This window comes from Homo sapiens, chromosome 3 (genome assembly GCF_000001405.40).
Source record: "Homo sapiens chromosome 3, GRCh38.p14 Primary Assembly".
Lineage (NCBI taxonomy): Eukaryota > Metazoa > Chordata > Mammalia > Primates > Hominidae > Homo > Homo sapiens.
The window spans coordinates 42,219,013-42,231,681 of record NC_000003.12 but is presented as its reverse complement, the minus strand read 5'-3'; the positions used below and the strand labels follow the sequence as shown (position 1 = coordinate 42,231,681).

At 48.1% G+C, this 12,669-nt stretch overlaps 1 protein-coding gene and 1 pseudogene across 25 annotated transcripts in view; both read right to left on the bottom strand.

The window, feature by feature from the left end:
- Positions 1-5,791: 5,791 nt before the first annotated feature.
- The window catches only part of TRAK1 (trafficking kinesin protein 1), a 212,798-nt gene continuing 205,920 nt past the window's right edge, over positions 5,792-12,669 (bottom strand). For 19 of the 25 annotated variants that reach the window (XM_047447718.1, XM_017005909.2, XM_047447722.1 and 16 more), the window contains 2 exons: positions 12,086-12,188; positions 5,792-8,740 (listed from right to left, as the gene is read on the bottom strand). In XM_047447718.1, coding sequence (XP_047303674.1) covers positions 7,945-8,740; positions 12,086-12,188 — 899 coding nt within the window. In that variant the 3' untranslated portion in view covers positions 5,792-7,944. Of the gene's footprint in view, positions 8,741-11,090; positions 11,184-12,085; positions 12,189-12,291; positions 12,466-12,669 lie in introns of those variants that run through there. The other 6 variants (XM_006713029.3, XM_006713030.3, XM_047447723.1 and 3 more) reach the window with 4 other exon arrangements.
- Positions 9,717-9,842, bottom strand: RNU4-78P (RNA, U4 small nuclear 78, pseudogene; annotated as a pseudogene).

The window sequence follows — 12,669 nt, the reverse complement described above, 5'->3', positions numbered from 1 at the left end:
AACTGGTGGGGTTGGGGGTGCTTACATACTGGGTTCCTGAGCCAGGCAACTCCACTTTCTTTGGTGGGTCACTTCCACAGTTTCTGCAGAACTCTGGAACAGCTAAACACACAGTACAATTTCTTCTCCAGTCATAGGCTAGTGGCCCAAGGGTGGCAAAGGCCACCATTGGCTGGAAATCATGCAAACAGGAGAGTCGGGGTCCAAGGCTACTGCTGCTACTCTGGTCCTTAGTGTCACAGGTGACTTAATAGAGGCCCCAGGGAGGACTATGAGTTTATGCAATTGAGGTGTGGGAGAACAATACATCACTGTTCTTTCTTTTTTGAAAAGAAGTACTTAAGCCTTTGCCTGTCACTTGAGAATCTCCTCTATCAATGGTCCCCACTGCTACCAGCTGCCTGGCCCTTGGAAACCCTGCTGGATTCTGCCCTTCCCTGCTCTTGGGGGGCCCTAGGTTCCCTCTCTTACTTTTTTCCCCTGAATCTTGTCACATCGATGTACAGGCATTGCTGAGCCTCAGCGCTGCTGGTCCTGGAGGCTGCTGGTCTAAGCTAAAGGCCTGGATTTCTCTCACTGGTTTTCAATTCTTTGGGACTTCAGAGCAGGATCAGCCTGAACTTTGGGCATTTGGCATGGTGAATGCCCAAGTACTGCCAAGCAAACATTTCCTTTAACCCTGGATTCAGTCATCGTGCTGTGGCTTTATAGAACTTAGGAACTACAGGCTAAAGTAGTACGGAGGAAAGGCTCTTACTTTCGGATGTTTTCAGAAAAAAAAAGCAAAGAAAACATTTTCTAAAAAGAAGATGCATTAGAAAGGAGCGGGTTGATTTCATAAGGTGGGAAGCACTCTAATACAGAATACGTTTTGTAAACTTTTTAAAAATGTCTTTCTACTTCCTGGTGCAGCAGGATGATAGGCAAGGTGGCCTCCTCCTCATTCTATGATTAATTTCTTCACTTGCACCCCAAGCCTGTGCACACGCTGTCCTCTTGTTCTGGAATGCCTCCCTCCAGTTCCCCTGGAGAACTGAGACCATGCTCATGCCTTCTTCAAGTGGCTTCTGAGACCCCAAGCAGAGGGACTCCCTCCACTGTCATCATGACCACTTCTGCTGCCTGCGCAGACGGAGCCCCTTTCAAGGGCTGGGACTGTGTCGGTTCCTCTCTGGATTCCCAGAGCAGCATGGAACTGAGTCACACTGAGGGAGGACTCAGGACATCTTGAGACGAAGAGTGGGACGGAGGAACCCAGGCTCAGGAGGGAAGACTCCTCCACCTAAGGAGTCCTTGGGGATCTGGCATGGCACCCCTACCCACCCGCCTTTCCCCCCTCCACCACCCCCCCGCCCTCCGCCAACCACAGCAGCCCCGAGAATCCACTGAAGCTCCAGAAGGGACGTCAGACTCCTGGTCCCAAGGAGGGGCTCTGGAATGTGAGGGGCCAGGCCTTCTTCCTGGCCATTTCCTCTCAACTTGCACCCCAGAAACAAGCACTCTGTTTACAGTGAGGATGTTGGGGGTTCCAGGAGGCAGAGTTGCCCGCCCTGAACTACTTTCCAGGGAAAAGCAAACCCATCTGATCTTGTGATTGGATTAGGGCGGTTTCTTCAGGTCTTTTGCTGTCTCCAAGTGCCCTCTGCTGGCTACAGAAAAAGAATTCCTTTTAGGATATGATGTTTTTGAGCCGTGAGCTCAGATGCACAAAAAATTTCATTTTTTTCTAAATCTCGACTTAATCCCTATTATAAGCTCTCAATTGACTCAGGTAATTCAGCATGACTTTCTTCCTCCACCAACTTCTCCCCAGGTGGCATCTAGGTTCTGGGTGCTGGCACTGGCCAGAGCTGCGGGGGAGGCTGGTGTCCACTTCCTTTGTCCTGTTGGCAAGGCTCTTCAGGACATACCTGCCTCTCTGCTCCCAGGCAGTGTGTGGAATGATTCCCACATCTGTCTGGGGCCAGGTACTTCAGGATCTCCTGGGACTTCTCCACTGAGACGTATCTGCTGGCACTTCTACTTCCTCACTGCCCCATGTGGTCCCTGCCCTGTGATGGGGTGAGTTGCTGGGGAGGGGCTCTGGAACATCCTTACTTCCCCAGGACCCCTGCCAAATGAGCTCATCTGTCCTTGGAGCCCCAAACTCATCAGGGGCTTCTCCTATAACCTTGGATGTGGCCCACAGATGGGGAAAGGACAAAGGCTCCCACACCGGTTGAACGCTGGCATCCCTTCCAACTCCCACGGCCTGGAGAATCTGCATGAAGTCCTTGTCCTTTGTGTTTGGCAAGCAGGAGTAGCACAGGAGGAGTAAGCAGTAAAAAGAGAAACTGTTTCACCAACTTGATGATTTAAAAATTTTTAAATATATATATATATATATATTTTTTTAAAGAGAGAGAGAGAAAAACTGGCTCCACAAGTTTCCTTCTAAATCTTTTGGTCTCACACCAAAACATGTACTCAGCTTTGTCCTTCCTTCCTTTCATGTTTGAAAACCAGGAATTTTATTATCTTTGTTTTCTGGTCTCACCAAATGCCTCTTTGACAACTTCTCCCTTAGGCCATGACGTCCTCTTTTGAACTTCCTGGGCTGGGAGAAGGGCTTGGGATACACATGAAGAAATTCGGCATAGAACAGGGACGATGCACCAAACCACCTTGAACATCCTCCCGTCACACATGAGACAGAAGAATGCCTTCTAGGGTTTACAAAACATCTATCAGTAGAGGGCATTAGAGGGCTTCCCATCTTTTGAGATGAACTCTTTTTGCTCCCACACCTTTTTATTATTTAAGTTTATTCTTTACTTTTTCCGAAAACACTTCAAAGTGACTTGCAGACACCAAGCCCCTTTATCTTAATCCTTTAGCTCCTAGGAAATAGGACATGCCCTTACATATACACAGTGCAATTATCAATCTCAGTAAATTTTATATTGATACAATTTTAAAAATACATGCTATATATTCAAATTTCTGGTTGTCCCAACACTGTCTTTTATAGCATTTTTTCCCACTCCAGTATCCCATTCAGATCATGAACTGCATTCGTTGCCTTGTCTCTTTATTCTCCTTTAATCTGGAACAGTTCCTTAGTCTTTGTCATGAAACTGACAATTTTTAAAGGGATAGGTACATTGTTTTACAAAATAATAAATGTCCCTCAAAATGTCAACCACATGGTTCAGGTTTTGCATTTGTGGCAGGAACAGCACAGCATGATGTGTGTCTCTCCCAGTACATCTCATAACAGGTGATGTCTTATAGCAGTTTGTCCCATTTTGGGTAATGTTAAATTTTACGACTTGTTTAAAGTGGCGTACCACAGAGTTATCCACTGCAAAGATATTGTCCCCCCTTTGTAAGTAATAAGCATTCTGTGGGAAGATACAATGGGTGTAAATATTCTGCTGCCTAACGAATTTTTACCCAATGGTTTCAATATCCATTGTTGTCTGAATTAGTTAGTATTATGGTTTCAAAACGGTGGTTGTTCTTTTTTTTTGAAACGGAGTTTCGCTCTTGTTCTGGAGTGCAATGGCACGATCTCGGCCCACCGCAACCTCGGCCTCCCGGGTTCAAGCGATTCTCCTGCCTTAGCTTCCCGTGTAGCTGGGATTACAGGCATGCGCCACCGTGCCCGGCTAATTTTGTATTTTTAGTAGAGACGGGGTTTCTCCATGTTGGTCAGGCTGGTCTTGAACTCCCAACCTCAGGTGATCCGCCCGTCTCGGCCTCCCAAAGTGCTGGGATTACTGGCATGAGCCACTACACCCAGTGAAATGGTAGTTTTTCTAATTCTATTGTCCCTTCTGTATTTGTCATTCACCTTCCTTCTACTGTAAGGAAGGGCATAGAGGAATGCATTCTAGGATCCCCTTTCCATCCTTCCTCTGCTTGGAATGCCTTCCCCACTTGGCAAATCCTGGAAACCCAGATACAGGGTCACCTTACCTCAAAGCTTTCCCTGCCCACCCACTCTCTCTCTCTTCCTTTCAATTAAGATGGGCTGCGGCTATCTGACCTTCTTAGAGCCCCTGAGACAAGGAGAGACTGGAAAGGGGAATTTGCGTCCCACAGCAGAACTCCCACCCAAACTCCACCTGGTCTAGTGCAGTGGGTCTCAAACTATGGTGCACACCAGAATCACCTTGAGGGCTTGTTAAAACACAGATACCTGGGCCCTATACCTGGGATTCTAAGGCACTATCAAAAAATCTTACTGGCTTAACAACAAAGTTTATTTCTCCATCAGGTTACATGTCAAATAGGTTGGCAGGAAGCTCTGGTCCACATACTTGGAGACTCAGGATGGTGGAGACTCCAGCACTTCAATACGTGACCTGAGGGTTTAACACACAGGAAGAGAGGAGCACAGAGTCATGCACGGGTTTTTCTCTGCTTATTGCCCATTGGCCAGCCACTAATCATGTGACCTGCTCGACTGCAATGGCTGGGAAATGGGGATCTGATGAATCATTTGGTGAGCACCATAATTTCTGCTACCACCACGCTCCCTCGATCCTACCAGCCCACTACCACACAGGCCTTCTCTTAGTTCTTCGAACGCACCAAAGTGCTTTTCTGCCTCCGGGCCTTTACACCAGCTGCTCTCTCTGCGGAAATGCTCTTGTGCCAGATCTCACATGCTTCACTCAAGTACCCCTCCCTGGAGTGGCTTTCTCTTACTGTCCAATCCAAAGCAGCCACCCACTCCTTCACACCACCCTGTTTTAATTCTCTGCACAGCCCTTGTTATTCTACACTTGGTGTTGTTCTCTCTAGATTGTACACTCCGTGACAGCAGAAACTGGCTCACTTATTCGTCCCCAGTACTTAAATGCCTGGCACATGGTAGGTGCTCAAAATACATTGACTCAACTAATTAACTCTAAGGTGCATTACTGTTTTCATGTCACAGGTTTAAAAAAAAAAAAAATGGAGGACCTAAAGAGGGTAAGTGGCTTGCCCAAGGTCACACCACTGCCAAATGGTTAGCACCTGACTTAAAATCCATGATGCCACATCCTACCACAGTGTTTATTTGCATAATCTCACTGCTTTCAAATATTGAGGTGGCAGAATATTTATTTTTTTCTTTTGTTCTTCTCACAATTCTCCATCTGGTGGACCTCCACTGTCCTTGGTTGTCTCTTAACTCTATGGAAGGCAATTTGGCAATAACCATCCAGGAATTTATTTCACAGATGTACTCACATATGTGGACAATTGCATATATGTAAGGTTTTTTCATTACAGTACCGTGATAGCAAAAGATTAGAATTAACCCAGTGACACCAGGCACAGTGGCTCACACCTGTAATCTCGGTGCTTTGGGAGGCTGAGGCAGGAGGATTGCTTGAGCCCAGGACTTCAAGAAGAGCATGAGCAACACGGTGAGACCCCCACCTCTACAAAGAATACAAAATAAAAATTAGCTGTGCATGGTGGCACACACCTGTGATCCCAGCTACTTGGGAGGCTGAGGCAGGAGGATTACTTGAGCCCAGGAGGTCAAGGCTGCAGTAAGCCATGTTCGTGCCACTGTACTGCAGCCTGGGCAATGGAGTGAGATCCTGTCTCCACAAAAAAAAAAAAAAAAAGAATTATCCCAGTGACCATCTGTAAGGGATGGTTCATAAAGGTATGTATAATTCACAGCAGGTGTATGCACACAGTGGAATAGTACACAGCCCTGAAAAGTGAGGGACATCTTCAGAGTCTGACTGGAAAGTTGTCTAAGGTATGATATCATGTTGAAAGAAAGAAGGCATGTAACAGTATGTGAAGTATATGCCTTTCATTTAATTTTGCAAAGAGCTAAACACTTTCAAGTCTTACATAAAGAGATCGTCTCCTTGATGAAAAGATAAAAACAAAATACAAATCAGAATACCAGTGTGGTTTCCATCATTTGAACTTATTTTATTGATACTCATTAGTGAATAAAATTGTGTTGATTTTTGATGCATTACAACACACTTTTTGGTAGTGGTTGCACAATGTTGACCGTTTATTTATTTACTATACTAAGTATTGCAACCTCTGAACTGCCAATTTTTACATGGTATTTCTGGCAATGATGAGTGGCTTCTCTCTCTGAATACATAAAATGGTCCATTCAGTCCATGGTTTTCATATTCCTTTGTTATTCTATCTACTGCTTTAAAATACATTCAAATAAAAAGATATAAGTTACTTGCAGTGAATGCACACATACAACAGCAGGGAGAGCTGAGAACATAATTAACCAATACTCTTGTGTTCAGAGAATAAATAGTCTGAAACCGTGGGACTGAGGCTTGTTCCTTAGGGGCTTTCTCAAAGTATCCTTGGTGGACATAAGGTTACCCTCACTCAATGGAAGGACACATCTTCTGCTGCCGGGGAGGACACAGCATGACAGTTTCATTTATATGGGATGTTTTCCTTCCATAAATGTCTGGAACACGGTGTCACAGGACACCATGGTGTACAGTGCAGCCCTCAAATTAGAATAAATAAGTCACATGGTTGGACTGGAATGCCACAGACACACTATGACTGAAACTGGAAGGAACGAGAATGTTTATTTAAAATACGGCAGACATAAATAATAAATAAAAGTTTAAAACTTAATCGGCGACAGCAACAGGACCAGCCTCCCTTGTTGCATTCATGATTCTTTTCACAAGCACCTGGATCTTTTCCTAAGGATAAAAAGAGGCACAAGGAGACAAAAGGCTTTGGAGGGAAAGAAAATATCTTGTTGTGACCATGTGCTGTTCTGAAACAAGAAGGAAAAGCATGTGGGCATTGAATGGCTGCAATCAAAGACCGCATGGTGACAGCACCCTGGCCAGCCTCGGGTTTCAGAAAAAGCGCTGGAGCCAGCGGAATACCAAAGCCTTGTTTCCCCCTGGAACCGGTTTGGTATTATGCCTGGTTGTGGTTCTTCCCCTCTACATTTGGTGTTGACACATTTCTTTAATAAGCTTTTTCCCTATCCTTTTTCCTTTCAGTCCTATTGTTAAAGGTGTCTTGGGTCCGGTCTTAAATCAATTTGGTTGTGACTCTGGGTCCCAGAAAAAAGCTGCTATCTCATTAGCGGCTTGGTGTGTTCGAAATTCATATTTGAACCACATAGAAAACATACACTACCAGTACCATTACTTCCCTGCATATATATGTAAAAAAAAGGAAAAATAAAACAAATCACACAGAACACAGAGGGGCTGCTGAACAACGCAGCATGAGTGTAAATACATTCTCTTTCGGGTCAGACATTTGGCCTGACAGCTGATTACAAAACACAGGATGACTTCAAGGGGAAGGCATGAAAACAAAAGGTCACACCTCAAAAAAGAAACGACTGTCCACTGAGGCAGAGCAGTGAAGGTCTTGAAGAAGCTGGGCCACCCATAAAAGAAAAGCCCTCCGATCAGGAAAGCCACGTCAGCTGCACGTGGCTGAGGATGGAGGCTCCTTACGCTCCTACAGGGTGGGCGAGGTGAGGTGTCCGATGACACCCAGATGTGTTATGACCCGTGCCGCGTGACAGCTCGTGGTGTGCCAGCCACGGAATTCACTGGTTTCCTATCCATGGGATAAGAACACACTTGGGAGTTTCAGTGCTTCTCAAAAGGAAAGAAGAAAGGACCCCACCTTCCCCCAGGTTAGCACAGGTGACGTCCTCGTGAGAGTGATGACAGTGCAGGGGCACTTCCTGTGGGATCGGAAGAAAGAGCAGGGCGGACACAAGGTCTCCAAGTCCTATGTACACATTTTACAAAGTTTCCACACTTCCTCCATTAGGCACGAGGTTGATTTGTCTAGCTTAGGAGGGGGTGGACAGAGAAGGGCAGAGGGAGGGAGTGCACTGTGGGGGGAAGAGAGGGAGGTGGGAGCAAGAGAGGAGAACGTGGGTCTCCTCTAGGGCAACCGGCCCCCCTCCAGTCCTCACCGTAAGCTAGTTTGTTTGGAGAGCTTAGCACCCATCAAGATGCCCGAGGTGAGAGTCACAGGAGCTTTCATCTGCATGCTAGATCCCACCATGGTGGGGAAGCTGCGATTCCGCCGGATGCCACTATTGAGCTGCAGCCCACCGATGGCACTGGTGACAGTGGGGCATCTGAGGGGCAGGCCCTCAGGTACCAGGCCTCTGGGAACAAGGGCTGGTGCTGGCCCCGGGGGCCCACAGAGGAGGGGTCCCTGCTCCTCAGTCAAGGTGGGGACATGGGCTCGCCCTGAGTTCACCACTTTGGCCACCCCAAACCTCCTGACTTTGTCCACGAGGTTGAGGTTGGAGACGGACACGTCGGTCTGGCTCTCGCTGCTGCGGACGTTCTTTTCTCTCACTTCCCTCAGGATGGAGCTGGCTGGCTTGGAAGCCAGGAAATTGTCGTAGGGAGGGCTCGTGCACTTGAACTCAAAGGAGGGTGGGGAGGATGTGGGTGTCTGCATAGGCGAGTTCGGCGGAGTAGAGGGGATCACAGCCATCTTGGGCGTGTAGGAGTGCAGGAGGGAGCCCCGGCCGGCCCTGTCCCAGCTCTGGGGGTCGTACACGGCAGCAGAAATGCCCCGCTCCTTCAACAGCCACACGAGCCCCAGGGATGTGCTCATGGTGGTCGTGGACTCACGGGTGTTAGTGAAGGACTCAGCCAGGCTCAGTCTCCGTGGAGTGCATGGTGTGGCCACCGGCGTGGATTTCAAGTGGCTGGTGCTGCCACAAGCTGGAGTTGGGGCTGAGTTAAGGCTGAAAGAAGAAATGACAGGTTATTCACCAGAAATGCCCATGAGCTCCAGAGAAAGGGTCAGTGGCCAGTTTCCTGCAGGGGGGGTAGGGACGACCCAGGACACGATGAGAGGGTTCCACCAGCTGAGGCCCCCAAAGGCTCTGTCCACGTCTGCTCCTCCCTCTCACCCTTCAAGGGAAGCATGGTTTAAGTTAACAGGAAGCTGCACATGATCCCCTTTGCCCATCCCTGGTTGGTGGGTACAGTTGTCCCCTTTGCAGATGAAGAAACAGGCTCAGAGCTAAGGGTTTACTTGGTGTCACATCTGGCTGTTAAGTGGACAACCCAAGTTGAGGGACTCTAAATCTGTTAGAGAACGGGAAAGGAAGCCCTTTGGCAAAGAGGCATTCTTTCTCCACCAAATTTACCCAGATTCCAGCATTCCTTCTTAGTACCTACTTCTCCCTGAAGCAAGACGTGAACCAGGACTCTGGGAGATGAGATACTCCTTATCTTAGGAAGGGTAAGGTTGGCCACAGTGCATGGACTGAGGCCAGGCTGTGCCCATCCAGTCAGTTGTGGCCGTGAGCTCCTGAATCCTGGGTGCAGAGCCCTTTCCTCTGCACCGTGCTGCCCTTAACCCTCTTTATATCCTTGCCCAAATCCATTCTAACCAGTGGAGTTAGAGGGTCGCGGGGAGACATGTCACATATGAAGAGATCTACATCAACGGTGCTACCCAGGGAAAGGCCCACTGAAATGTGTGGGGCCTGAGTTACGGAAGGAAAGCAGAAAGATTTGTTCATTCACTCGTGTTGTGCTCACTAGGGACTTGCTAGGTTCCAGCAGTTGGGATCCAGTCGTGGAGTCCATTAGGACAGAAAAGTTTCCAGAAGGGCAGCAGAGGGGAATGCATTGTTGTCTGCTTAAAAAGCAGGAAAGGTTCTTTTTTTTTTTTATAATTGCAATTACTTTTGCACCAACCTAATAATTCAGTATCCCTAAAAACTGTCAAAAATTGCCAATGCTGCCTCTATCTCAAGTCGTCACGGCGGGGTATTGGGGAAAATTTTCAACTAGTAATAAACCTCATTGGCTATGATACTGCCACTGTGCAAAGCTTGGAAAGGTTCTCTTTTAACAGCTGCTACAGGGATCCAGGGGAGGCCAAACAGGCATGGAAGCCCTATACTGCTTCTCAATGAGCAACCAAGGGGCAAAGATGCACAGCCCTCCTAACAGTCTCGTGGGACATGCCCTGGTGCCGGCTCCAGGATTTTGCTGGGGCTGCCAGTGTGCCTTGGAGCAGGTCAGCTGCATGGTCCCTAGGAGCTGGGGATGGAGACTTCTCTCCCCAGTCTGGCAGAAGGAAGTCCATGTACTCTGAGAAAGGCACCAAAGGAGGGAATGGGAAGGAAAAGGGCCCATTCTGGAGCAGGTCTTTGCGATGACCAGAGAAGGGGCCCCCTCCCTCGTGGGAAACACGAGGTTCAAAGCAACGTACAAGCTAGGGGAACCAACTGGCCCCACATTCAGGTGACCTCAGCCCTGGGAGGTCAGCACAGGGTGGGGATCCCAGAACAGGCCCATCTCACACAAGCTCAGGGGTGGGGATGCTGGTGGGCTGGGGGACTCGGAAAAGCATGATTAGAAACCACAACAAATTCCTAAGGTTAAACATGGATTTTTTCAGAAGGCATTTGTGGAGTTTTACAAATGTTGATGTACCCTCAGTAAAGGGCAAAAATGCTCTAGACTTAAAATCATGTTGATGTGGCCATCCCTAGGGAGATTTTGTTTCCATTTTGTTTGTTTCAATTGATTTGTTTCCATTTTATTTCAAGCAGCCTTTCTTTCAAACTCAAGCCAAAAAAAAAAAAAAAAAAAAAAGAGCCTTCTCTTGCTACTGACTTCCCAGGCTTTGTTCGGCCCTGACACAGCCACATGAAAACCTGTGTTTGGTTTGAGTCCTATGGCTACAGTCAGGAGTGCCATCTAGTTACCCAGGGCACCAGCCTCTCATAGGGAGAAGCTTGGTTCCATGGTTTTGAAAACAATCTCTTCCCAACATAAAGCCACAGGATGAGGAAGCCAAGTTCTCCAGGGGCAGAGAGACGGAGGAGACAAAGCTAATATTTATGATCCCCGTCTGGTGAGAACTTAGGGTTAGGCCTTTATTAGTGCTGGCACTCGGCTTGACTGGGGGTGTTTAGCTGGGTTAGGGGCATCGACCATCAAGGCCGAGTTAGCCAGGCACAACCACAGAGACACATCCAAGCCTAAGTCCCCGGGTTAGTGGCGGCCACGCGTGCACACACAGCTCCTTCCACAGGGCCCTGCCAGGGCAGGCACTGCTGGCGGTGTGCTCACCCCCTGCCTCGCCCGTGGGCTCAGACTCTCTGCCCTATATCTCCTCTCAGCTCAACGGGGCATATGGCTGCTTCGTCGTCCTCCTCACATGACCTGCGGAGAATTATTCATAGTTTAAGGTGCTCCCTGGCTGACTGTTCCCACCCCTTCTGCTTTACCTTCCAGCAACCCAGCATCTTACACCACAGAGGAAACAGCTGAGGGGGTCGTTCTACTCTGTTAGGGGAGAGCATTTTCTCTTTTGCTGGCAGCAGTGAAAGGCCTGAAATCAGGCCAAACAGACCAACTCACACCAGACAAGTCCTCCCCATAGATGGTGCTCCAGAGAGAAATGGACCATGCTGGGCACATGGCTCAATTTTGGAGTCTTCTCATTTTGGTCATTACCGTTTGGCTGTGCTGCATGGTTCCTGGGGCCTATTCCAGAGGCACAAGGGGTTCCACAGGGCTCAGTAACTCCATCCATAAATAAAAGAACTCTGTGCTCTACTGACAAACTTGGGGGCAAAAAATCCAACAGACTTTAGCCATAGGGCCTGGGTAGTGTCAACTTCAGCTGGTTAAGGAGCGGCCTAGGAATCCATTTCTAACTAAATAGCCAACTAAAAGGGCAACTAAAGGTGGGTCGGTCCAGGTCTCTTTATTTGAGCCAGATCCAAATAAATAATAGCCTCAACTCAAAAGGAAAGATGGGCTTGAACCCAGGAGGTGGAGGTTGCAGTGAGCCGAGATCACGCCACTACACTCCAGCCTGGGCAACAGAGCAAAACTCTGCCTCAAAAAAAAAAAAAAAAAAAAAAAAAAACACATAACAACAACAAAAGGAAGGATGGGACCCAGAACAAGTGCCTGCAAATGCTGAGATGCTTACACTGGCTTCAGTTGGTTTTTCTATGAGCCTCTCTACTTGGCTTTCCTCAACATTAAGCCTTGCAGGGAAGGGAGTGCCCTGACTTCACCCCACCCCTGCCCACCCCAAAGCCAGGGTCCCTTACCTTGGTGTGACCCGAGTGAGCTCATCTGAAGGATGCAGGATGCGACAGGTGGTGAAGGTGAAGGTGGAGTTGGTCTGAGACATGCACTTCCCAGGATGGTGCGCTAAATTGGGAGGAACAAAACATATTCCTTGCATCCAAGTACAACCACAATAAAAATTAAAATCCAGCATGTCACTCAACAGATGCAAGAAGTGATGAGCTACCTTGTTAACTGGATCTGGGCGAGGAAGGTGAAACGCAAATGTTCTGGATTGAAGGCGAGTCCTCAAAAATAACCACAATTTTGAGCACTGGTCTGCAGAGCACCAAATTCCAGCTTCCGACCCAATCCAGACTAGGTTTCTCATCAGTATTCTTGGGCCAGTAGTGGATCCAGTCTGGGGGTGGGAGGCGAGGGGGGTGGGGTAATGGGCCTTTGTGGGATAAATTTGGTTTCCCTCCTCAGGTCAGAACCTGCTGTCTTCTTTTGCTGCTTTACATTTCTTTGCATTGGCAACAGCTACCAAAGCTCTGCTCAGAGGAAGGGGAGAAGTACAGGCAGGGAGAGGCACTTGAAACCTGCAAACAGGGCAAGGCTCACA